This window comes from Homo sapiens, chromosome 2 (assembly GCF_000001405.40).
Source record: "Homo sapiens chromosome 2, GRCh38.p14 Primary Assembly".
NCBI classification, from domain to species: domain Eukaryota; kingdom Metazoa; phylum Chordata; class Mammalia; order Primates; family Hominidae; genus Homo; species Homo sapiens.
In genome coordinates this window covers 164778126-164803659 of record NC_000002.12, presented here as the reverse complement: position 1 = coordinate 164803659, position 25534 = coordinate 164778126, and the positions used below count along the sequence as shown (strand labels likewise).

Here is a 25534-nt window from a genome sequence, read left to right as displayed (position 1 = left end):
TCTAAAAATAGATGGATTATAAGCAATGCTAGTTTTGTCAAACTTTGCTTTTTATTTTATTTTATTTTATTTTATTTATTTATTTATTTATTTTTGAGACAGAGTCTCGCTCTGTCACCCAGGCTGGAGTGCAGTGGCGGGATCTCGGCTCACTGCAAGCTCCGCCTCCCGGGTTCACGCCATTCTCCTGCCTCGGCCTCCCAAGTAGCTGGGACTACAGGCGCCCGCCACTACGCCCGGCTAATTTTTTGTATTTTTAGTAGAGACGGGGTTTCACCGTTTTAGCCGGGATGGTCTCGATCTCCTGACCTCGTGATCCGCCCGCCTCGGCCTCCCAAAGTGCTGGGATTACAGGCGTGAGCCACCGCGCCCGGCCAAACTTTGCTTTTTAAATCTTGTATGATTAACGCTTTTAAAGATATCACATATTACTAATACATTTATTGAGAGGCAGATAAATATACAAAAATTTAAACTGACATACATAAAATAGTTGAAGTAAAAGTTACTTTCTAACATTCTCCAAATATTTTGGTTCTTATCCTTTGACCAAGTTTACATTCCAGAAGATCACTAAGGCTTTATAATAGTGGAAAATTTTTTATTTGAGGAAATACTTGTCATAAAAACTGAATTAAAAATCTATATATTGCAATCTATAATCTTTGAAGTGGCAATTTCTGTTCTTCAGAAAGAGAAAGACCATTTAGCACTGATATGTCACCTGATTATTTAGTTTTGGAAAACTTCTATTCATGTCTTCCTTTAATTATTCATTTTTCAGTTTGCCTCCCTCCCCTTCCTTCCTCCCTCTCTTTCCCTCCTTTAAGCATGAGTTTTAGTTTAAAATGTTATTCCCAACTTGTAAATCTAATGGGATGTTGTTCAGGGAATTTTATAGACTTTCAAAAATAGTTATGTATCAAAATACTGATACTTCAAGGACTAAAAACTCTCAGTATTAAAATAAACTATCTCAGACTTTTAATTTGTTACAGATTTTCTATATCTAAAACCTGAACATATGTATGTTCTAACTTTATCAGATCACCCAATGGACCTTATTTGGAAAGTCAACACTGTCTACTGAGTGAGGCAATGGAAGCTGTGCCACAATCTTCTCTTGATTTCAGCAAAATCCCTCTCTCACTTCAATCCTGTGCTTTTTCCTGCTGTATTGGGCCAAGTAAACTCAGTTTTTCCATATTTCCATCATCTCTTGCCTTCAGATATATTACTGGCAAATACACATACACATTTGGATGTATGAATTGTTCAATCTTAGCCTACATTATAGAGGTGCAGGTTTGATCTGTGGACTTTTCTGTTTAAAGCTATTATCAGAGGACCCATTCTGAAATTATGATCGATGCTTACCATGTGCCAGATATTGTGCCAAATGTTGTGAGGTTTACAAAGTGGAAACATTTTACTTTTTGTTTCAGTTTCTTAACAATTTTAATTTCTCTACAAATACACTTTTCTTTTGTCACTAGCAATTATTTATGAATCTTAATCTGCTATCTAATTTGAGAGTTGACTAAATAACAAATATAAAACATGCTAAGTATTTTACAACTGTTTTGCTTAAATTTTGTTTTAATTTTTAAACTCTAGGTTCTAAGCTAAAATGAAATTTCATATTTACTTCAAATGCAGCTACAAAGAATCAGAAAATACATTTTCTTTTTCTCCTTTTGAATGCTTAAGCAATAGGACATGGGATTCAAATGACTGGTTCTGTCCGTAGGAGCTTCACTGTAGCCCAGTCTTCTTTCAGCTTCTGGATGCCATTATTCTGCCAGAAATATACAGCATATCCACAGATAATAGACATAAATATACTGTTTACTTGTGTGATTTCTTTCTCCTGTCATGGATACTTTTACTTTAAAATGGAGGTAGCACAAGAACAAATAGAAAACTGTGTGGCAGCCTGGATATCAATTAAGGCTATTAAAACTTTGGACAAATTAACATGCAGTAAAATTGACTTTTGTTGGGTGTATACTTCTAGGAGTTTATTAAATTAAAAAAAAATTGAGATAGGCTCTTGCTCTTTCTCTCAGGCTGGCGTGCAGTGGTGTGATCATAGCTTAGTGTAACCTCAGATTCCTGGGCTCAAGCAATCCACCTCAGCCTCCCAAGAAGCTAGGACTACAGGTGTGTTGCCACCACACTTAGCTAAGCTTTTTTTTTTTTTTTTTTTTTTTTTTTTTTTGAGACGGAGTCTCGCTCTGTCGCCCAGGCTGGAGTGCAGTGGCGCGATCTCGGCTCACTGCAAGCTCCGCCTCCCGGGTTCACGCCATTCTCCTGCCTCAGCCTCCCGAGTAGCTGGGACTACAGGCGCCCGCTACCACGCCCGGCTAATTTTTTGTATTTTTAGTAGAGACGGGGTTTCACCTTGTTAGCCAGGATGGTCTCGATCTCCTGACCTCGTGATCCGCCTGCCTCGGCCTCCCAAAGTGCTGGGATTACAGGCGTGAGCCACCGCGCCCGGCCTTAGCTAAGCTTTTTAATTTTTTGGAGTGATGAGATCTCACTATGTTCCCCAGGCTGGTCTTGAACTCCTGGCCTCAAGCAATCCTCCCTCCTTATTTTCCCAGAGTTGGGATTCCAGATGTGAGCTGCTGCACCCAGCTCCAGTGCTAGGAGTTTTAACCCATGCACATGTTTACAAAATTCCCACCACTATCAGGACATAGACTGGTTCCATCCCTCCAGAAAAATCCCTTTTGCTGTTACTTTATAATGAGACCGTCCCTATCAATAACACCTGGTGACCACTGAGCTATTCTTTGTCACTGTAGTTTGAATTTTTATGAATGTCTTAAAAATAGAACCATACAGTATGCAACCTTTTGAGACTTTTTTTCACTCGGTATAATGCCTTTGAGATTCATCTAACTTTTACGTGTGTCAGTGGTTCCTCTTTATAGCTAAGTGTAGTATTTTGTAGTATGGATGTACTGCAGTTTCTTTATCCATTCACCCATTGAATACCAGTTAGATTGTTTCCAGTTTGGGTTCATTATGAATAGAACATTCAAGTACAGTATTTTCATTTCAAGTACAAAATTTTGATTTCTTTTTTATGCTGCCTAGGAGAGAGATTGCTGGGTCATGGTAAGTGTATATTTAATAAGAAACTTCTAGACCATTGTCTAGAGTAGTTGTACCATTTTGCATTCCACCAAGAGTGCATGAGAATTTTATTTGATCTGCATCCTCACCAACATAGTATCGTTGGTATTTATGTTAGCCATTCTAATACATGTGTCATGAGATCTCATTTTGTTCTTAATCTACATTTTCATAAAGGCACTTGATGTTGAAAAGCTTTTCATGTGCTTATTTGCCATTTGTATATCCTTTTTTGAGACAACTGTTTAAGTCCCTGGCCAATTTTTAATTTGGGCTGTTTTCTTACTGCAGAATATTCTAAGTTCTTTATATATTCTGGATACAAGTTATTTGTCTGATATGTGATTTGGAAATATTTTCTCCTAGACTGTTGCTTGTCTTTTTTATTCTCTTAATTGTGTATTTTTAGAGCAAAAGTTTTTAATTTTGATAAAATCCAATTTACCAATTCTTAAAAATGTACTATGCTTTGGTGTCTTAAGAACTTGTTGCCTAAATCCAGATCATGAATGTATTTTTGTTTTTTAAAGTTTTACAGCTTTTCATTTTGTATTTAGATGTATTAATCATTTTGAGTTAATTTTTGTTAAAGGTATAAGCTTTAGCTCTGGATTCATATTTTTAGCATACAGTCCAATTATTCCACTATTATTTGTTGAAAGGACTATCCTTTCTCTAATGAATTGCCTTTGCACCTTTGTCAAAAACAAGTTGTTCATGTTTGTGTGGCTCTATTTCTAGATTGTCTATTTTGTTCCATTGATCTGTGTCTACTTGTCAATACCACATTGTTTTGATTACTGTAGCTTTCTTTATAATGTCTTGAAATTGAATTGTATCAGTTCTCCAGCTTGCTATTCTTTTTTGCCTTTTTTAAAATTCTAGTTCCTTTATTATACTGTATATTTTAATATGTGCTTGTCTATATCTACAGAAATCCCACTGGAGTTTTGACTGGAATTGTGTTAAAAATACAGATAAATTTGAAAAGAATCTTCACTGTACTGAGTCTTCTAATCCATGAACAGGATATGCCTCTGAATTTAGTTAGGTCATCTTTGATTTCCTTCATCTATGTTATGTAGTTTTCAAAATACAGATCCTCTACATATTTTGATGGAGTTACAGTCAAGTATTTTCGTTTTGGGATCTTAAAAGTTGTTTATTGCTATTATATGGAAGTATTTGTGGCTTTCAATCAATAAAAAAAGGGCAACTCCCTCTGTGCATTAGGAAACCCCTTCTCTTTACTTGGCCTTGAGCTATAGAGCATCTCCTTGTATTCCTTCTAATCCTTTGCTTCTGAGTTTAGGCTGCATTGAGTCCAAGCTGGGGTATACTGGAGGGGAAAAGTAGTTATTCAGCTGCTTTTCAATTTACTTTTCAGATTCTTCAAATTGTTGCTTTATGGATTCTGTCTGGGTTTTACAGCTGCATTCTGTTAAGGTAGAGTAAGCAACCACTTGCTTACCCCCTCTTTTTTTTTTTTTTTTTTTGAGACGGAGTCTTGCTCTGTCACCCAGGCTGGGATGCAGTGGCGCGATCTTGGCTCACTGCAAGCTCTGCCTCCCGGGTTCACGCCATTCTCCTGCCTCAGCCTCCCGAGTATCTGGGACTACAGACGTGCGCCACCTTGCCCGGCTAATTTTTTTGTATTGTTAGTAGAGACGGGGTTTCACCGTGTTAGCCAGGGTGGTCTCGATCTCCTGACCTCGTGATCCGCCTGCCTTGGCCTCCCAAAGTGCTGGGATTACAGGCGTGAGCCACTGCCCCCAGCCTGCTTACCCCCTCTTAACTGAAACTTGAAGCAAGACCAGTTTCTTTTGCTGTGAATAGAACCAAATAATTTGAAAAACATTGTAAATATGTTTTGTTAGCAGATAGTCCCCCTGAGTATTGAGATCTTGCAGCATTCTTCCCTTGTCCACTCCCTCTCAAGAAAATGACAGTACAACTCCTTTCCCAGCCCTGAATACTCAGCTCTTATTTATGATCTCATTTAAGTATTGATTAGGGAAAGATAACCTTTTTTGGCTTGAATAGTTGTAATTGAGTATGTAACGTCAGAGTAATCTCTTTGTGACAATTTTTCTTGAAGAAGAGAAGTCATAGTGTTGTATCTACATAACTAGGTTTGAGTTATTTAAGACTCTGCTGGCAGCCTTGGCAAACTCTAGGGAGAAGTGGAGGATTGATATTTAGAAAATTAATGTGTGTATGAGGAATTTGATATTTCACAATTAAAACTTTTATACAACAAAGTAAATGATGAGATGTGAAGGCAGATATTTTAAAGAAGGAACAAACTCCCTTAATTTACATAAGAGCCTTAGATTTTTTTAAAATTCACTGCTTTAAAAGCTGATTTATCTAGCCAGAATTCTGCAGTGAGAGTATTGAAAGCTTTTGTGTTGTAACTGGTGCAAATACATTTTCTTTTACATTTGTTGGCCACTTTGTTTCAGGTTTGTTTTAGGTATGCCAAGCACAAGCCAGTATAACCATGGATTTCTGAACCAATCTCCTGTAATAATTGATCTTTTCAATGTAAGTTTTAATTATGTTCTGGCTTAGTGTAATGATGTAGAGATAGTGTTACATAGTTTCAGTTCCAATCTGGTTTTCCCTAAAACGGAAGATATTTAGTAACATTTGTATCTGCTATTACTTGTTCTTGTATAAGAAAAAGAAAGTAAAGAAATGGTTAACTTTCTGTTTGCAAGGAGGAAGAAGGTGTTCACTTGCTTTTTCAAAAGTGGGAGAAAAGTGCTCTATATTCCCTTTTGCTTTTCTTGGAAGAAATATGTACTGTAGAAAGAAAAAACACCATAATTAGAACTTCTTGAAAAAACAAGATGGTATTTCAGTTATACCTCATTTTGATGAAGGATGGGTATCTGGAAGCAGGACCGGGTACATGGTCATAAGGAATTGAAAAAGCCTAGACTTTAAGGTCAGAGAGATAGGAGTTTGAATCTAAGCTCTTTCATTAAAATGGTGGATATATTGTTTAATAACCCTAAGGGTTTTTTTTTCTGTCTTATATACAGTTGATTTACCTACTGAATTCAGAGGCTTGTTTAGTGAATTTAACAAGAACATTTGTAAAGGGACCCAAAACTATGCCTGTCATATAATGGCATAAGAAATAGTGCCATCATTATACAATAGTTAGAGTGAAAAAGTAAGTAGTTTAATAGCTTAGAACTTTCTGAAAAAAATCACATGATGAGTAGCAAGGAAACTGATTAGCTTATTTAATATGGGCAGATTCCAGCCATCAGGGAAGCCCAACATTGCCTAGTGTGGTAATGCTTGCACATGAGAGGACTTTGAGTTACATTCGCATTCTACCTGTAACTTATGACATCAACAAAGGTCCCAGAAATAATACTTCATTTTCCTTCTAGTGTTGTGAATAGCATTAACTTTTAGAAACTTTATAGGCAATACCAAATGTGAAATTGTTTCAATTAATATTTTTCGTCAGCTAATTTTATTGACACTAAATCCCTTTCTCTTCTCTTTAAAAATTTTTTTAGAGGTAGGGTCTCGTTCTGTTGTCCAGGCTGAAGTGCAGTGGTGCAATTATAGCTCACAGTAACCTTGAACTCCTGGGCTCAGGCAATCCTCCTGCCTCAGCCTCCCTAGTAGCTAGGACTACAGGTGTGCTCCACCATACCTTGCTGATTTTTAAATATTTTGTAGAGATGAGAGTCTTAATATGTTGCCCAGGCTGATCTCAAACTCCTGGCCTCAGCAATCCTTCCCCCTTGACCTTCCCTCTCCTTTTTTTTTTTTTTTTTTTTTGGAAGGCCAGCTACTTCATCTGTCATCACCCACCATTAAATTTTATAGGAGCTTGGTTGCCTGAACAGATTTTTAAAGTTTTTATTAATTATAGTAAATTTATATTAAAATACTTTATTATAAACAATATTCATTGTAGAAAGTTCGAAGATATTAATAGGTATAAGTAAAATAAAGCAAACTTCTGCAGAGTTTATTCCTATTTTCTTCAATGTATAGAATTCTAGATTGTTTATTTCTGTATGCATTTGTTTATACCAAGATGAAATGCTGTTTTGGTTATCCTCATTTGTGAACTGATTTTTCTCTGCTAATGCTCTTCACTTTTTCATGTTAATTCATTTTCATCTTAGTTATGTCCATTCTCACATCCTCATATATACCCAGTCCTTCCTTACATTGACTCAAATGCCCCTAAAACATGTACAGGTACTTTGTCCTAATTAGGGTCTAATTTGGGACTTTGCTTTGCATTTGGTTATGCCCCGTAACCTTCAAGTAGTGTCCACTATGACTCTTTTTTTCAGGAGATCAAGATAGTTGCCCTACAAAATATTGTGCCATCTGAATCTTTCTGGTTTCTTCTTTGTGGTGGTGTTAACTTGTTCTTAAATCCTTGTATATGGAAAAGCAAGATCTAGGCAACATAGATTTAAGTTAAGTAGATTTCAACTAGAACATATTGTAGGTGGGGTCCTGTGTGCCACCATGCGTCTCACCAGGAGACACAGTGTCTAGAGGGGCCACCATTCATGGGGCACACTCTTCAGACCACAGTATCAGTGCTGCTTTCTAAGTCTGACATGCTTCTGCTTCTTATGTTTGATTCACTGTATATCAAAGAATCATAATTTTTTAGTCTAAGAAAAACTTTATGCACTTTTTAAAAGTTAATTTTAAATGTAACTTTGAAAAAACTCAGTTTTTAAAGAAAATGTATATTTTAAGATTGTTGATCACACTATTATCAGGGCTTTCTCTAAGACTACGGATGTATTATTTTACGTTTCCTAATGTGGTGCCTTTAGTCTCAAGAAAACAGTAAAACACCTTAGATATTGTAGATGTATGTTCTGTATGATTAAAAAAAATACATGTAGACTTTTAAAGCCTGTAAGAAGTTGTGATGAAGACATAGCTTACGATCCTGGAGAGAAATAATTTAACTGGGAGCGGGTCATTGGTCAATCTAGATACTCTGGGAGTAAGAAAAATTTAGAAGATATTTGCAATGGTTAATTTAATAAAATATAACGAATTAATAGAAATGATTAACAATAATGCCATGAAACATGTTTTTAATTGATATTTAATTCATTTTAACTTACTAAACTTTGAGGGAACTCCATATTTTTATCAAAAGTAAAAAGGTATTATTTTGCCATGTAATATCTTTCCTCTCTCTCTCCTCATATATATGCATAATATTCTTCTGTCAAATAATTTTCAGTTTATACCCCTTTAGACTTGTGAGTGCTTCAAAATACTGTATTGTTTCTTAAAAAACATTATTTCTAAAAGTTCTCCTTTAGAACATAATTATAAAGGAGTACCTTTAAAGAGACATTTAGGGTAGTTTCCCTTTCAAAATAAGCATATTTGATTACTTGATATGTGGAACCAACTTTCCCTAGAGACGAAGATGAAAAGAGTCCTCGAAGGAAGTGGGCTTAGTGAAGAATGGTCATTGTGATAAGTATTTCTCACAATTCACTTTTGTTTTTATTGGCTCTTGCTCTTGGCATTGATTTAGAAGGTTTACAAATTCATTTTCTTTGCTTTTCTTAATACTAAGTCTTAAACATTAGCACTTGTTGTGTGGGGCAAAGATTTGTGAATTCAACAATGTCTTTTGCTCTTACATGTAAATGGTGTTAACTTAATAGAAGAACATGAAGGCATTCTGGGGCAAGAGGGTCTGTGTCTGTGAACCATCAGTCTTCATGAGGGGGTTGAAATTGCCTTGTGATTCCTGGGGAATTCAAGTACTTATGCTGCGTATGTACTGAGCCCCAGTAAGTCTTGTTCTTTCTCTTTCCTTTCCCTGTCACTGCCTTGTTCAGGAGTGTGCACTTGACTGAACAAGTGGAATAAAATTTGCTAGGTCATCCCTGTGCCTAGTAAAGGGTCACCGAAATGTCAGAATTCTAAATACAGTCTTATATGACTCTTCAGAGGTGTGTCTGCATTTTCCCTAATCTGATTTTTTTTCTTCCCTACCCTCCTTACTCCATCCTGCTGCCCTTCCCCTCTGCAATAACCTGAAATGAACTTTTATCTGTATACTTCTGACAGTTTTTACCAGGACCTTCCCTAGGTGTAACATACCTCCCAAACTCAAAGACATTCTTTTTATGCTTAACACAGAGCATTTAGACAAATGCAGTTTTCTTTTACCTTGCATCTATGGAATGATTTATGGTATGCATAATTTAAACCTTACAACAACACTGTAAGAATAGGTACTGCTATCACCAGGATACAGATCAGAAGGCTGTGGTTCAACTTCCACCCCTTCAGTTTTGAGGTTTGGATTTTTCTTTTCAAAGGAATTGGCACCTTAAATGGGTAGACAATTCTTTTTCTTAACAAAGAGAGCTCTGCTGTGAACTTCCTTCAAATTTACTCTGCCATTTCTAAGTAAGTATGACCTTCTGTTTGTATTAATAAATAGGAGACTACATGGAGGGGGTTCTAATTATGATGAATAATTTATGTAAAAAGCCATTTTAACCATCTGATAAAACTTTCTGTAACATTACTTTTACAATTTTAAAACACATACACATTCCTAATCTGTAACTGAAAATTACTTTCCTAATAGATGATGCTAATGATTTCCATACTCCGTCACAGTTTACAAAGGAATATACTTATAGTCTTACCAGTCTGCTATAAAGCAGGCTTGGTTTTGAATTGTTAAATGGTTCCTCATGCAAATGTCTTTTATATTCCATGACATACTAGGATGATTTTTCTTTTCTTGGCATTTTTTTTCCTTGTCCCATGGGGACCTGTTAATATTGGAAAGGAATTTCACAAGGAACTTAATGTGGAAGCTATAACAACAAAAGTCTCTGAAAGTAGAACATATTTTCAGATCACCAGTGATTTTAGTCATTTAGTTTTTTGAAGATAGCAAAAAGGAACTAACATAAGAATATAGATAAATTAGGGCATAATATTATCATAATCACTCATTTGTTTTCCTTTAGTATTTTTCAGCACAGTAAAACGTATGTCAAAATAACATGAAAATACCTGAAATGAAGTTTTGTTAAAGAATTAAATTTATGAGATTTGTGTAAAAGGTTCAGTTTTGGTAGTGCTGTAAATATAAGATGGTACAAACTCCCTTCTTTTAAAAAACTTTTGTTTTTTTTTTTTGCTTTGTTTTGTTTTTTAAGAAAAGCTTGAAACCTTTCTTTAAAAAGGTTTACAAACCACTATCATGTTTTGTTCTAGCTAAACAGATTTCTGTTTGACAACTTAAATAGTGCAGAAGTCACTCCACAAGGAATAAATTGGGTGTTTCACAGGTTTGAATTACATTATACTGGGGGGTCTGGCCCATAGCATGAATTTAAGTTTCTGCCTTTTGGTAGGATTCCAAAGGCTGATTATCTCAGGCCTGTTTTTCAAAAGTAAGAAGCAGAAGATAAGCATGTGGCTCTTTCTTTCTCAGACTGGGTGGTGATCCTTCATTGGGAGTTGAATGGAGTTTTGGGGTAAGAATTTTTATGGGGAGGAACTGTAGGGTGTGTCTGCCAGTAGAATGTTCATTCCAAGGAGACATTCCAGGATATTATGGGCCTAGGAATGGAATTAATCCTGAGGTGGAGCAGAGTACATTACTTAATCTTCCTGCATACTGATTGCAGGACAGGCGTGTTTGAGGAGTAACATCTCCAGGGGGAAAGATTAAATGCTCAAAAGTGTTCTTTCTAGATGTAAAGCATACATACAAAATTGATGTTATAAATACTTGAAAGGGACAATTATGTCTTTTTCCTCTAAAGACATTTAATGCTTACTGTGCGTTACGTGTATAATTTAATCTAAACACTATTTGATTGGTACTACTCAATTTGAAAGTTGAGGAAATTAAGGCTTGGAGGTTAAGTAATTTACTTAAGGTTACATAATGAATAATGGAGTCTAAATTTGGTCCTACGTCTTTTGAACTTGAGTTATTTCTTAGTCATGATCCTATTGTGAAAAGGAGGCTGTTTCTAATTATGTGATGGCTGAACCCCAAGGAGAGCCAAGAGCCAAGGGGGTCCAGTGGAGTTGGACCTCCTATAATCCCAGCACTTTGGAAGGCCGAGGCAGGTGGATGGCTTGAGCCCAGAAGTTTGAGACCAGCCTGGGCAACATAGTGAGACCCCATCTATACAAAAAATAAAAAAATTAGCCAGGTGTGGTGGTGCACACCTGTAGTTCCAGCTACAAGGGGGGCTGAGGTGGGAGGATTGCTTGAGTTCAGGAGGTGGAGGTTGCAGTGAGCTGAGTTTGTACCTCTGCACTCCAGCCTGGGCCACAGAGTGAGACTCTGTCTCAAAATGATAATAATAGTAATAAATAAATAAATAAATAAAGAATAGAAAGAAAGAAAAACAGCCAATGGGGATTGCTTCGGGAAGTGTATCTACTCTCTACTTAAAGCAGCATCTCTTATGTGTTTACCAAAAGAGGCTGTGGATTTAAAAAATTAAAATAATTGAGCACTTATCTGACCCACTTTAATATTGAAATACAAATGTGTATGATCAGTCAGTTTTTAGTTTCAGAAAACAGGAAAAGCCGGCTGCTTTTTTTAAAAAAAAAAAAAGCAACAAAAACCAGGGAATTTGATACGTATATAAAGGTTGGCAATTTGGAGCAGCAGAACCTCACCTGTGCCTTCAGGTCTGGTGACACCATTTGTCTGGCCTGCCAGAGGTACTGCTACCTCTGCTACCATCAGGAAGGTGGAGAAGTTGCTCCTCAAGCTTAGTTGTGATCCAGGAGTCACAAAGACAGCACTACACATGGTGGCATATCTAATTAACAGATGTCTGGATGTAAGGGAGCCTGAGAAGAGAAGTATTTAGGATTTTCGCCTCTGTAATTCAGGCAGGCACGCAGGAAGACAGTTGGTATGGAGGTTACCCACCATATTAAAACAAATGTATGTATGTATGTATGTGTATATAGGTATGTATATATCTGTCTGTCTGTCTGTCTATCTATCTGATAGCAATGGGATAAGACCTTGCTTTGTCTCCATGTCTACATTTCCTGACCTCCCTCACTCCCAGCTGTCATTAAAATGTGACTTTTGTCTTTCTGGCCATGTGTTTTTGTTTTGTTTTGTTTAACCATGTCATTAAAGGCTTTCTCAGGGAATAAATAATTTAAAAATAAATATTTGATTAATATATGTAGGTAACTTTTTAAAAAGTATTTTGAGAAGTTATTTTGGCTACTAAGACAAGGGGTGCTAGAGCTAAACTCTAGCTCTCAATTCCAAAATACCTGCAAAAAATACTTAGCAGATATAACACTAGGAGAGTGTTCTGAGTCTATTATATCTCTGGCAGAGTATTCTGCACTTTTTCAAAGATAGGCTGCAGAGAATCAAGTATGTGTATAGAATACATTGTTATATGTATGTATTTATATACATAACTTTTCAGAATGGAAACTAATTTAGATGCAGACTTTACTGGAGACTTCTGATAGGAGTTATCTTTTGGAGAGCACATTATAATATGATATTTCAAGTTATGCAGAAGTGTGCAACGGATTGTTCTTAGCTCAGGTGCCTAAACTCAAAAGTTTAATTAGTTTCTAGAGAGAGGTGGAGAGTCTTCCAAAGCATTTTCCCATCAGCGATCAATGGTGTATTATGTAAACCATGTTTTCTTTTCTGGAGTTCCTTGTGGAGTCTTACAACTTTCTTTCTTTACTTCTTAAACCTTTTATATGTAGCAGGCAAGTGTGAAATACCAGTGTGTAAGTTAAGAGAAACAATTCCATAGGGAGGCTCTTTGTTGCTGTTTAATTTCAGACATTTGTCTCTCAGATTTTTTATGTATACAGTTAAGTCCTCAGTGTTGTCACTGGGTTCGTGGAAACTTCAACTTTAAGTAAAATGATGTATAAGGAAACCAGTTTTACTATAGGTTAATTGATGTAAACAAGATTGCGTGTGACATTTCTGGTCACAAAAGCATCACCAAACTTTTAAATAAAAACCAAAACTGTCACATTATTAAACATTAAAATAAATGTGAGCTATACATACATTTAAGAAAGGTTAACAAATCATGTGGGATAATGATTTACCTATTTATTCCCGTTTAGGGTCATGGGTGGCCAGAGCATAACCCAACAGCTCAGGGTGCAAGGCAGGAAGCCATCCTAGATAGGATGCCGTCCCATGGCAGGGTGCAGTCATACCCACCCACCCTCACGTACACTGGGACAATGTAGACACACCAATGAACCTGACATGCACATCTTTGGGAAGGGAGAGGGCGCCAGCCATTCTGGAGAAAACCCATGCAGACATGAGGCGTAAGTGCAAACTCCACACAGATGGTGGCCCCACCCAGTGTGAATTGATTTCTATTCTCATTAATATTATAATGAAACAACATTGAATGAAACAACATTATTCAAGAATCTGAAGTTATGTATTTTTCCCCTTCATCTGTTTTCCCTTAATGTATTTGAATATAGGGAGGAAAAAACAAATGGTAAACTTTAAAAACAAACAGACCAAAATCAGCTGGCTGTTTTGGAAGTATTCACGTGTTCGTAATCAGTCCAATGTGTGTAAAATATCTATCAATTTAAGGGCAAAAGAATAAGCAGTAGCCTTAGCTGAGAATTACCCAGCTGCTCAATTACTTCATTTTCAAAATGTCCGTTAAAGGGGGTAACAGCAGAGAGAATGTCTGCAATTACCATCTAAGTTTTGATATGAGAAATAGGCTTGCTGATGACTGGGTTTCAAGTAGAGAGTTAAGTAGTCCTTAAATCTCATATTCTCACCTATTCTAAATCTGAATAGAAATAATGCAAATGCTAAAAATATAGGCTTTTGATGGAATAGCTAAGTTTTCTAACATACCCTCTGAGCTCCCCCTCTATGCCAAACAACTTAAACTTCACACTTCCCTCTCCTTCCCCACATATTCTTATTCCTCAAAAACATTGCACTTCCTTTGAAGATATTCACTCTCCTTAGCACAGAGGTAATATTGGCTTGTCTCATGCCCCATTTTTGCTTCATATTCTATCAGCCTTGTAAGACAGGATATGTATGACAAAAATTCTGACTACTTTGGGTACCATCTGGCTAAACACACATGACCACTCTCTTGTCTTCCATCTACTGGCCAGGTCATTTCTTCCCCATTTCTACCACCTAACTCCCTTCTAACCTTCTATCATCATGATCTCTATTAAAATAGGGTGTATGACCAATCTAATACCCTATCTTAATGTGTTTTTGTTTTGTTTTGAGACAAGATCTTGCTTGTTTTTTGAGTCCAGGACTTGTCCAGGCTGGATTTGAACTCCTATGCTTAAGTGATCCTCTCACTTCAGCCTCCCAAGTAGCTGGGACTACAGGCATGCACCACTGCATCTGTGTGTGTGTGTGTGTGTGTGTGTGTGTGTGTGTGTGTGTGTGTTTAAACCTCTACTCCTACAGGTAATCTCGTTTGTTACTAACTGGAATGACCATACCTCTGAAATTCAGAAATTCCACTCACTTTACAAATTCTTGTTCTCCTACCTTTCCAACTAACCCTTTTCTACTACTCTGTACATCTCTTGAACTTTTTATTCTAGTTATCTGGCTTTTTTTTTTTTGGTTAAACATAGAGATGGGGTCTCACTATGTTGACCAGGCTGGTCTTGGTCTTGAACTCTTGACCTTAGGTGATCTTCCTGCCTTGGCCTGCCAGAGTGCTGAGATTACAGGTGTGAGCCACTGTGTCCGGCCAGTTATCTGACTTTTCATGCATTTATTTCTGTATTCTGTGTAAATTCCAACATCAGTCATTTTAACTACTTTCAAAGTTGGCTCAATTTTAGGCTTTTCCTTCTTCCTAGACAAACTTTTACCAAACATGTCACTAACCATAAAATGGAATCAGCCTAAACTATAGTATCTCCTATTTCTGTTGTCCAGCTGATAGGTGTTTCTAGAGGGAGAAAGTGGGCCTTGATAACCCAGTGGAAGACTCTTTGCATGTATCTCTTGTAATTTTCATAACCTCCATGAAAGCTATTTTTATCAGCAACTTGTAGATTTTTTTTTTAAAGGTACAGAGTTGTGTTTGAACCTAGGCCTTATGATATGTGGAGCACAATGGATGTAGCAGCTCCAAATGTCACATCTGCACATCAGTCTTTCTTAGAAAAGAAAATCTCTTTCTCTGATTGTCAAACAAGACTTGTGGCCTCACTCTGAACTAGATTTAACCGAGTGGCCAAAGCAGTTGCCATGGCCGGAGTAATGTCAACATCTAGCTGGCCTGGGCTTGGGTTTTGGTCAGTCATAGTACTAAGTTTGGGAGATCCTTCTACTTGGTTTAGGCCAATCAGTGCCCACTTATGTGGGTAGGTTATGGGAATCAATCCCATCTAGTCACCCGGACTGCTAACCTGTGCAAAAAGTATGAAACGGAGGCCGGGGAAGCATCTGACAAGTGTCTGTTACAGTGATTGATATTTTTATTCAATATAAAGAGCTTCCCACATTTTCAAATTCTAAGTTTATTTCAGGTTTGGTTGTAGAAATTTAGAAAACCAAGTCATAAAAGAAGGCACTATGAAATCAACAATGGAATAATTTTGCAGGGTTTACGTTTTTCAGAAGCTCCTATGGGAGCAGGGAAGCTATTATTATAGTAAATACAAGTTGGGATGTTATGAGCCATATAAGCTGGAAGACCAAGGATGCAAAGTAATTGAGGTTGCAGGTGAAAGTGTAGCCCTGGTGTTTCTTCAAGTACTCAATGATGGATGGCATATAAATGAGGTTAGGGTATTTATTTGAGGGCTCAAGGTCACAGGCAAGGGATGCAGGAGTGGAAAGGTATAAGAAGCTATATTCAGAGGATGGATACTTATTTTTTCCCCCAGCCTTACTGAGGTATAGTTGCCAAAAAAAATTGTATATATTTAAGATATAGAATATGTTTTGATATATGTTTACATTGTAAAATGATTACCACTGTTAATTAACATATTCATCATCTCATATAGTTACCATTTTCTGTGTCTGTGATGAGGACATTTAAGTTCTACTCTATTAGTAAATTTCAGTTGTATCAGTCACCATGCCATGCATTAGATCTGCATAACTTGTATTTGATACATTATAATCATTACATTTGATATGTTTGACTTTTCTGATGTGGAGATGTTTCAGGTAATGACAAGTTCCTAGTGGTAATGGAGTGCAAGTTTGGAAAGGCCAGTGAGCTAGGTAGGATGTTGAATGGTTTATCAATATGGGGACTGAAATTTAGAGAGTGGTGACAGCACTAAGGAAGGATAAGCTTACCATTAGCCAGATGTCCAATTCCTTAGTGTTTGTGGAAGGCAACTCGAAGTTAAGTGATTAACATGGTTAAAGTGATAGACATGGATGGTGAGACCCTTGGGGGCGAAGGAATGGTTGTTAATGAACTACAGTCATACATTAGTGCAGAAGGGCTTCAGGAAAATGCTGACTGTTTCCTTTCCCTGGTCTGTGGAGGCAAGCAGAGAATGAACAGAGTCCATTTGAGAAGTGTGTGATGGAGATGGCATAATCAAGAAAAAAGCAAGATACATTAAGGCAAGGAAGTAGAGGATGCTGTCATAGAAAATGTTAAGAATGGTGTACCAAGCTTTTTGGGAATTAGCAGTTCAAGAAGTACAATGGAAATCATTAGAATGGTGTGGGTAAGGGTTGGTGACAAAGAATCTGGGAAGGTGACACTGAAGCCATTCTGGGAAGTGATTCTGGATCTCTGTCTCCTGAGGGAGACAGGGCTGCGAGATGAAAATCCTGCATACGGGTTCTTTATGCTGTGATTCCAGACTTTTAAAATTTTTGATTTTTTTAGTGTTATCACTGACTGTTGTTTGAGCTTCTTCTCCTGGATCACCCAAGAAACTGAGCTGCTTGCTGTTTTCCAAACCATCTCCTATTCCTCCTGCTTCTGTTCATACATCTAGTTTTCCAGAAATGTCTCAGTTCTACTTCAACATCTCAAGTTCATATCCCATAAGACCATGTCAACGCTCACCTCCTCCAGCATGTGACTCTCCATCCCTCTGCCCAGTTATATGCTCTGTTTTATTTGGCATGACTTTTAGGACACTTTGTATTCATGTTATTTTGTGTGTATTTGTGGCAGGACTCTATATCTTAGTATAGCTCCTATGCTCTCTAGCAAGGTGCCTTGCACTTTACATGTATCAAAGTACTGTGTGGAATATGAGCAGTCAGAAAAGACTCCAAACAGAGTGTAGGAAAAGCCCTCTGGGTTTGTGAAGTTTTGATCCACGTATGAAAATATTCTTAATTCATTTCTATATGCAGCAAATTCAACTTTGTTAACTAGAATTAGTTTTATATAATACATAGAAACACTGGAAATCAAATTTAAGACATTATTATTCATCCGAAAAATTAGATTTACCATCTTTTTTAATGTGACTGCTTCATTTCAATTCCTTAATCAAATTAGCTGCCTGTTTTATACCTGCTTGGTACTTAAAAAAAAAAAAATCTACCTTTTGTTGCGGAGGAGGATTTCCTCTAGCTATTTATTTTGAATCAAAGGAGACATCAGCTGTAGCCTATGCCCCTGAATCAGCTTCCTATTTTCTTCTTTGAGAATAAGCCTCTGATGTCTTTTTTTTTTCTTTCTTTCTTTCCTTTCTTGGACTCAAATACCACTGAAAACTCCCAGCAAGGAGAAAGAATAGTTATATGATGACTGGAATATTGGTATAAAGTTTATTTTTGTTGCCATAGCAAGTACTCAGCTACATTGTCTCTCACTTTTGGAACTTCTAGCTCCTATGAAAATATTTCGTGTAACTTCCTGTATTAACCCCTGCTTGAAGTTATGTGTCTGTTCCTGGCTCATCATGAAGGGCTTTGCCTATTGTTTTCCTTGCTTTAAAGAAACCAAAACCAAACAGAACTCTTTAAATCTTTGACTACTTCTATTCATTTATGGGGTTGGCTGGAAGTTTCTTGTGAATGTCCAGAGCACCCTTCTGGTATAGTCCATTTGTGTGACTATCTGGGACCATCACAGACCAGTCTCACTCTGTTGCTCAGGCTGAGGTGCAGTAGTGCAATCTCTGCTCACTGTAACCTCCACCTCCTGGGTTCAAGTGATTCTTGTGCCTCGGCCTCCCCAGTAGCTGGAACTACAAGCGAATGCCACTACACCCAGCTAATTTTTGTATTTTTAGTAAAGATGGGATTTCGCCATGTTTTTCAGGCTGGTCTCAGACTCCAGCCCAAATTACCAGACTAGGTAACTTCTAAAGACTAGAAATGTACTTTCTCACAGTTCTGGAGGCTGGGAAGTTCAAGATCAAGGCCTGGACATCTGGCAAGGGCCTTCTTGCTTCATCCTCACATGGCAGAAGGCAGAAGAGCAAGAGAGCCCACCTGCAGCCTCAAGCCTTTTTTACAATAGCATTAATACATTCATTAGGATGGAGCCCTCGTGACCTAAACATCTCTCATTAGGCCCCACCTCCCAACACGGTCACATTAGAAATTATGTTTCTAACACAACTTAGAAAGGGAGGACACAGTCAAACCATAGCACCTTCATTTTATATGTATTTTAATTGTTTTTAAAAAAACATGTATTGGCTCTAGTACCAGTGGAATCCAAAAATGAAAATAGCAAATTTCCTTCTCTAAGGGAATCCACAGTGTAAAGGGAAACAGATAAATGCATAAGTATCATATAGCACTTTTTTGCACCCTGATTACCCATGAATGGCCTCCTCTAAGGGCTTAGGGAAAAGAAGACAGGGAAGCAGATTATGCAAACAGAAGGAAGGGAGGAGAGATTAGGATGCCTTCTTAGGGAAATTCACATTAGAGCTGGCCCTTGCAGAGAGAACACAGTGCTGTGGACAATGGGTGGATATGCTCACATCACTCTGGAATTCACCGCAGCAGCCACATGAAATAATTACGTATGTGGATCCAGCACTTTCTGTATGCTTTAGCAGTGTGTAAGGAACTTGGAGGACTAAAGAAATATCTACAAATTATGCCTTAAAGAAATGAACTTAAAATTTAGAGATACAAAATGCAGATATAAAAATAGAATAATAAAACGACCTAGGATTATATACAAAAGCACATGTTTATTGAGTGACTTCTGTGTGTTGCGCAGTATGGTGATACTACTCCCTTTGTGGATCTTAAAGTCTATAAAATATAAAACATATAAAACATGCATAAATGAAAACTTAATGTGAATGAAGTTAGAGCTAAATGCTGTGAATACTTTGAAATGAGAGAATCTACCATGAGACGAGAGAGAAAGGAAGCCTGAGAAGATGACAGTGGTCTACTTGGATCTGCTGCTTCTCCTGCCTGGACTCCGGTCTTGCCACCTCCTTCTCCTGGCCTGGCTCCACACCTCTAGAAAGAATGTGAAAATACCACTTTTATCAGAAGTGTTTGATGGGTTAACTGATTGATTGAGACAGGGTAGCTCTCTGTTGCCCATGCTGGAGTGCAATGGCATAATCATGGCTTACTGAAGGCTCGATCTCCCAGGCTCAAGCAATCTTCCTGCTTCAGCCTCTTAAATAACTGAGACCACAGGCATGCACCACCATGCCTGGCTAATTTTTTATATTTTGTCGTGATTGGATCTCGCTATGTTGCCCAGGCTGGTCTCAAACTCCTGGCTCGTGCTATCCTCCCTCCTTGGCCTCCTAAAGTGCTGGGATTTATAGGCATGAATCACTGCGCCTGGCCAGTGTGATGGTTTTAACTTCATTTTGATCTCTTGCTTATAATATGAAAGTGTCTGAAACCACTACTGCTAAATCTTGGCTGTAATTGAATGTCTGGGATGGAGGAGGAGTTTTTAATGTTTGGGTCTGGCCAGCCCAGCAAGGACATGTGCTTCTGACCACACTGATTCACTGAACTGCTTTCTTCAGAGCCACAGCCCACAACTTGAGAGGCTCTCTTCTCTCCTCTCTCCTCTCTTTTCTTTTCTCTTCCTTTCTTTTCTCTTCTTCTCAACAGGGTCTTACTCTGTACTCACACTAGAATGCATGCAGTGGCACAATCACAGCTCACTGCAGCTTTGACCTCCCAGGCTCAAGTGATCCTCCTGCCTCAGCCTCCTGAGTAGCTGGGACCACAAGCACGTGTCACCACACCTGGTTAATTTTTTTTTCTAATATTTATTTTTAGTAGAGATGAGGTCTCATTATGTTGACCAGGCTGATCTGGAATTCCTGGGCTCAACTGATTCTCTCACCTCAGCTTCTCAAAGTGATGGAATTATAGGTGTGAGCCACCATGCCTGTCCTTCATCTTGCCTTTCTGAAAGACCTGTGGGATTTGGGCATTTATTCTTAGAATATTGCTGTAGAAGTCCAAAAAATACATAGTTGTGATAATTGCATACTGAAGGCTTAATCTCCCTTTTATGTAATATATGAAAAAAAATGGGAAAGCAAAGCAAACTACTGAACTATTGAAGTTATAACATTTTAAGTATAACCATTTAAAATGTATCTTGGGGAAGTTCTGATTTTATAGGTGATAAAATTATACTTGCAGTGGGTTTTCTTGTTATTTTGAATGTTAAACTTTTATTAAACATTTAATGTGATATATTTATAGAATGTTATTTTTATATTTCAGTTGCTATTATGAAGTATAAATCTTTGACCAGAAATCTACTTGTTATATTAATAACAGTCTTAAAATATCTGGCTGTTTTTATTAAAATTGTGGTAAAATACACAAGATAGAATTTACCATTTTAATCATTTTAATGTGTAAGACACAGTAACAGTTAGTACATGTACAGTGTTGTGCAACCATCACCACTATCCTAGCCCAGAACAGTTCCTAAAGGAAGCCTGTACTCATAAAGCAGTCCCTCCCCATTCCCTTTCTTCCTCAGCCCCTGGCATCTACTAATCTGCTTTTTCTTTTTTTAATGTGAATAATATGATGTCACCGATTGCAAAATAATGGAAAGAAACTGGTTTGATCTTTCTTGCTCAGTTGATATAAAATAATGCTTTTCTATTCGGTTTGTTAGACTAATTTTTCAGTTAGGTGATTTAAAAAACATAATTAACAGTTAATTTAGGGATGAGGAGCTCTACTGAAGAATTTTTTATTAAAACATTAGTAATTTTATTAAAGGAGCAAGTGAAACTCACAAAATTAAGAAGAAGTAGTAATAAAGGCCAGGCATTTTCTTAAACTTTCATAATACTGAGAATTAACTGCAAGAATGAAGCCAGCCATCAAGATTTTTCTCACTTTTGTAATTTGTGGGAATATAAAATTGCAAACATAAAAGTAAAAGACAATTCAAAGTAATGAGAATTAGAAGTGTTGGCTGGATAAAAAATGTCCTAAGTTATGAGGGTAAAAGTTCCATTTTTTTTTTAACTGGATAGCCTTCTCTGAGGCTAAAGAAAAAACACTTAAAAGAAAGGATAGCTTTATTCCATTTTAAAAAATTCAACAACACATTGATAATGTTTTTAGGGAAGCATGTTTACAATTTCTCTAAAAAGCAGTAATGAGGTTTGAATACCTTGTTATACTTTTGAGATTTGTTGAAAATAGATCTACTTTATTGGTTTTCTCTGTGTATGTGGTTTCTTTATGCTTTGTTTTGTCTTGAGCACCTTCACAGATAAAGCCTTTGAAATAAAGTCAGGATCTATGTTTTAATTTAGGGCACAATTTCAAATTAAATTTGACTTTTAGTTCAGTGGAAAAGAATGTAGCTCTATAGTCAGACTGCCTAGGTTCAAGTCCTGCCTCCAAGGTGTACTACTGCCTTGACTAATTCGCTAAATAGTTCTTACCCTTATCAGTGAAGTATCTTGTAAAGTATCCATAAAGATATGTGTCTGTGGATTGTGAGAAAGGGGAAAGAGCACCTCAGCAGCACTTTACAAAGTGTCTGGTCTGCAGTAAGTGTACAGTGAACATGAAAGCTTCTGATTTGACCATGATGATACCAAAGTATTCTTTTATCTAAAAATTAAATATTGGCCCAATGCTTCTCCAACTTGTTAGTAGCAATTTTATTTTTATCAGCCTTTCTCAAAACTGTTCCAGCCTCTCTCCACAAGTATTCACATACTGTTATCACAGGCATGGGCCATTATTGTGCTATTTTTGTCATATGGATATGAGGTACCTAAAAAATAAAAGGTTTTGGGTTAAAAAAGAAAGTCTAATAACTTAAATCAATGTAAAGAAGATAAATGTTTGTTTTCTCTGTGTAGTATTCACTGTGATGTATGTAAAAGGTATTGAATCTTACTTTTTGTGTTTTTGATTTTGAAGCAGTAAACTTTTATAATTACAGTGCAACATTATGAAACTCAGACTATTACAGAGGGAAATGCGTTACTGCTGTTGAAATACTGGAGGGATGTTTGTGTATTTAAAATTCTCCTAAGTATAAGGAAACGCCCAGGAGAAAATACGCACATCACAGGCAAGGTATTCTTAAAGGTGCCTGTTCTAAAGTTGACTTAGTGGAACAGCAAATTACTGACTGAGAATTACATTTACTCCTTGCCCAGAGACCTCACAAGGCGACAGCAGTCTCCATGAAAACACAGCATTTACACTCTGTCTGTCGCCTACCCTGCCTTGTGGATTTCCACTTAGCCCGGCAGATACTCCGGCAGCACCACCCAGGGCAAACATTATTTGGTTTCTAAATAAGGCATAAAGCTGAAAACACACAAAAGTGGAATGGTTGTGGAATAAATAGGAGCGCTGCAGCTCTTGTCCATTCGCTGTGGTGATAATATCATCTATGTCTTTGAGCTCATAACCCATTATCCTGAGATCCAAGGAAAATAATAATTAGATCTTCAATTAATGTTAAATTATTCATTATTGTCCAAGAGGAAACCATGCTAAAAAGATTGCTCTCAAGAAAAGCCATGAAAATCTCAAAACTTTTCCATGTGACTGACCCAGAAGCCTTAAAAAAAAAGAACATATGTCTTTAAGTTGGCCAATAATTTTTATAAATTTAAACTTTTATAAAAGGGAGGAATTACGTGGAATTCCTTTCATTCCCAGAAATGTTTACTACAAAGGCCTCTTATGTTCTCATTTGTGGCAGTAGAACCCTCCGTGTCAGCCATTTCTATGTTGTAGAAAAGCCTCCAAGTGGCACTGTGCTGAGAACTTTGGTTACAACAGTCCCCTTAGTGGCGGTTATTACTACCCCATTTTACAGATGTGGATCTAGGAGAATGAGGATAAGTAATTTGCTCCAGGTCACACAGATAGCTTACGGAAATACCAGGAATTGGGTCCAGGTAGTCAGCTCTGTGTTGCTAGACTGCCTCACATTTAGTAAAGTTAACACTTTGCTTGAATTGTAGGATAGCAGAGTGACATCATTATTTATCTAAGCTATAAAAGAAATAAAAGTATCATATCATATTTTTAAAATATTTTAAAATTCATGAGGCAAACCTGTTTCTCATTAGGCCTCATCTTGGCCCTGAGTGCAATATGAGAACATTCCCATAGATGGAGGCCTGACCCATGTCTCATACCTGCACATTCCCTACCCTCCCTTTAATGTTCGGTCTAAATTTGCAGAGTGCTATCATCTTAAGTCTTCTCTTTCCCTCTAGGCTCAGTTATTGGGACAGAGGCTGATGAAGAAAGACCTGAAGGAAGGCCCTAGTCTGTGTGGTCTCTGTTTGGAGGAGCTAAAAGGGGACTTTTTGGTCGAGAGACTCAGAGAGAATATCCCTGCCGTAAGGTGACCGTCCTGCCTGGGCCTGAGAATCTGTGGGAGGCTGGGAAGCGTCCTGTGGAAATAGGCTCTGTGTTCTGGGAAATGGCATGGGTGGGGCAGGGCAGGACAGGTCATTAAGAGCAAGGAGGAAGAATGCTGCATCTCCTGAAGCTTACATGGAATTCTCTGAGGGATTCAAGACCTCATCAGTTTTGGTGAAGGCTCTTTAATATCGTTCTTAAGGCTGAAGGGAGCAAGGAACTTCCCTGGCTTTTCCTGTCGGGAAAATAGAAGACTGGGATAGCCCAGATTCCTTCAAGTTATCAAGAGAGAGCAGGACAGTTCTGATGAAAATTTCCCAGGCAAAGATGGTGACTTTGCCATGATTCGTACTGTTTATCCTTTCTCATTAGAGAACCTGTGATCTATGGTAATATTTACATGTTTGGATCACTTTTCCACCTAGAATCTAAGAAAAGACCAAATTTTCCTACCCCTACTTAGGAATAGGAAAGTAATTTGGATAGAAGAAAAACAATTTGGATAGGGAAAAACAAAACAACAACAACAACAACAACAAGCAATTGATCTCATTTGGAGACTGCGAAACTTAAAGACCATGTTTCCAATATGACTGTCAAATTCAAAAATCCTGAATGACTCATTTCCTGTGAAGTCTTGTCTTCCTCCTGTAATTTCTATCCTAGTTGCGGTTGGTCTCATCATTTACTGAATTATCATAGTCATACACTGGGATTTCTCCTGGTCTTCCCCCTCCCCTTTTGTTAACCTGTGACTCGGTCACTAAATTTTGCTGATCTATCACTTAAATGTCTCCTAAACCTATTTCTTTCCCTCTCTTCCCAGTGCTACCAGGTCTTGGCAATTTTTACCTGCATTATTGATCATTTAATTGGTCTGCTTGTCCCTGGTCTTAACCTTTTAATCAATCCCTTCCATTTTCATTATAATGATATCTCCATATGCAAATAAGATCATATGACTGCCCTGTTTTACTGATTTTAGATAACCTAAATTCAGTATGGCCTACAAGGCTTTGCTTGGAAAGTTGTCTTTTTTGTCTCACTCACTCTGTCGCCCAGGCTAGAGTGCAGTGGCATGATCTCAGCTTACTGCAACCTCTGCCTCCTGGGTTCAAGCACTTCTCATGCCTCAGCCTCTTGAGTAGCTGGGACTACAGGCACATGCCACAACCCTGGCTAAGTTTTGTTTTAGTAGAGACATGGTTTTGACATGTTGGCCAGGCTGGTCTTGAACTCCTGACCTCAAGTGATCTGCCTGCCCCGGCCTCCCAAAGTGTTGGGATTACAGGCATCAGCCACTGTGCTGGGCTGGAAAGTTATTTTCTTTGGAGCATTAAGACTTCTTTTCTCCCCTTGCATTTGCTATTCCTCCCAAGTATAACCCTTTCTGACACACCCATCCTCTGAGCTGGCATTTTATTCCTTCAGTGTCTTGCAATTCTCCATGTCACAAAGGCTCAGTAAATGTTGAGTGAGTTTCCCCTGATCAGTCTGTCTGATTTTCTCATG

The 25534-nt window shown here is 37.6% G+C and overlaps 1 protein-coding gene across 10 annotated transcripts in view; it reads left to right on the top strand.

Annotated features, from left to right (window-relative positions):
- Positions 1–25534, top strand: part of COBLL1 (cordon-bleu WH2 repeat protein like 1) — a 184146-nt gene that overhangs the window by 38417 nt on the left and 120195 nt on the right. Inside the window, exon 3 of one of the 10 annotated variants that reach the window (NM_001278458.2) lies at positions 3106–3126. The exons of the other annotated variants lie outside the window; for them this stretch is intronic. Coding sequence (NP_001265387.1) covers positions 3106–3126 — 21 coding nt within the window. The remainder of the gene's footprint in view (positions 1–3105; positions 3127–25534) is intronic. 10 annotated transcript variants of the gene reach the window in all.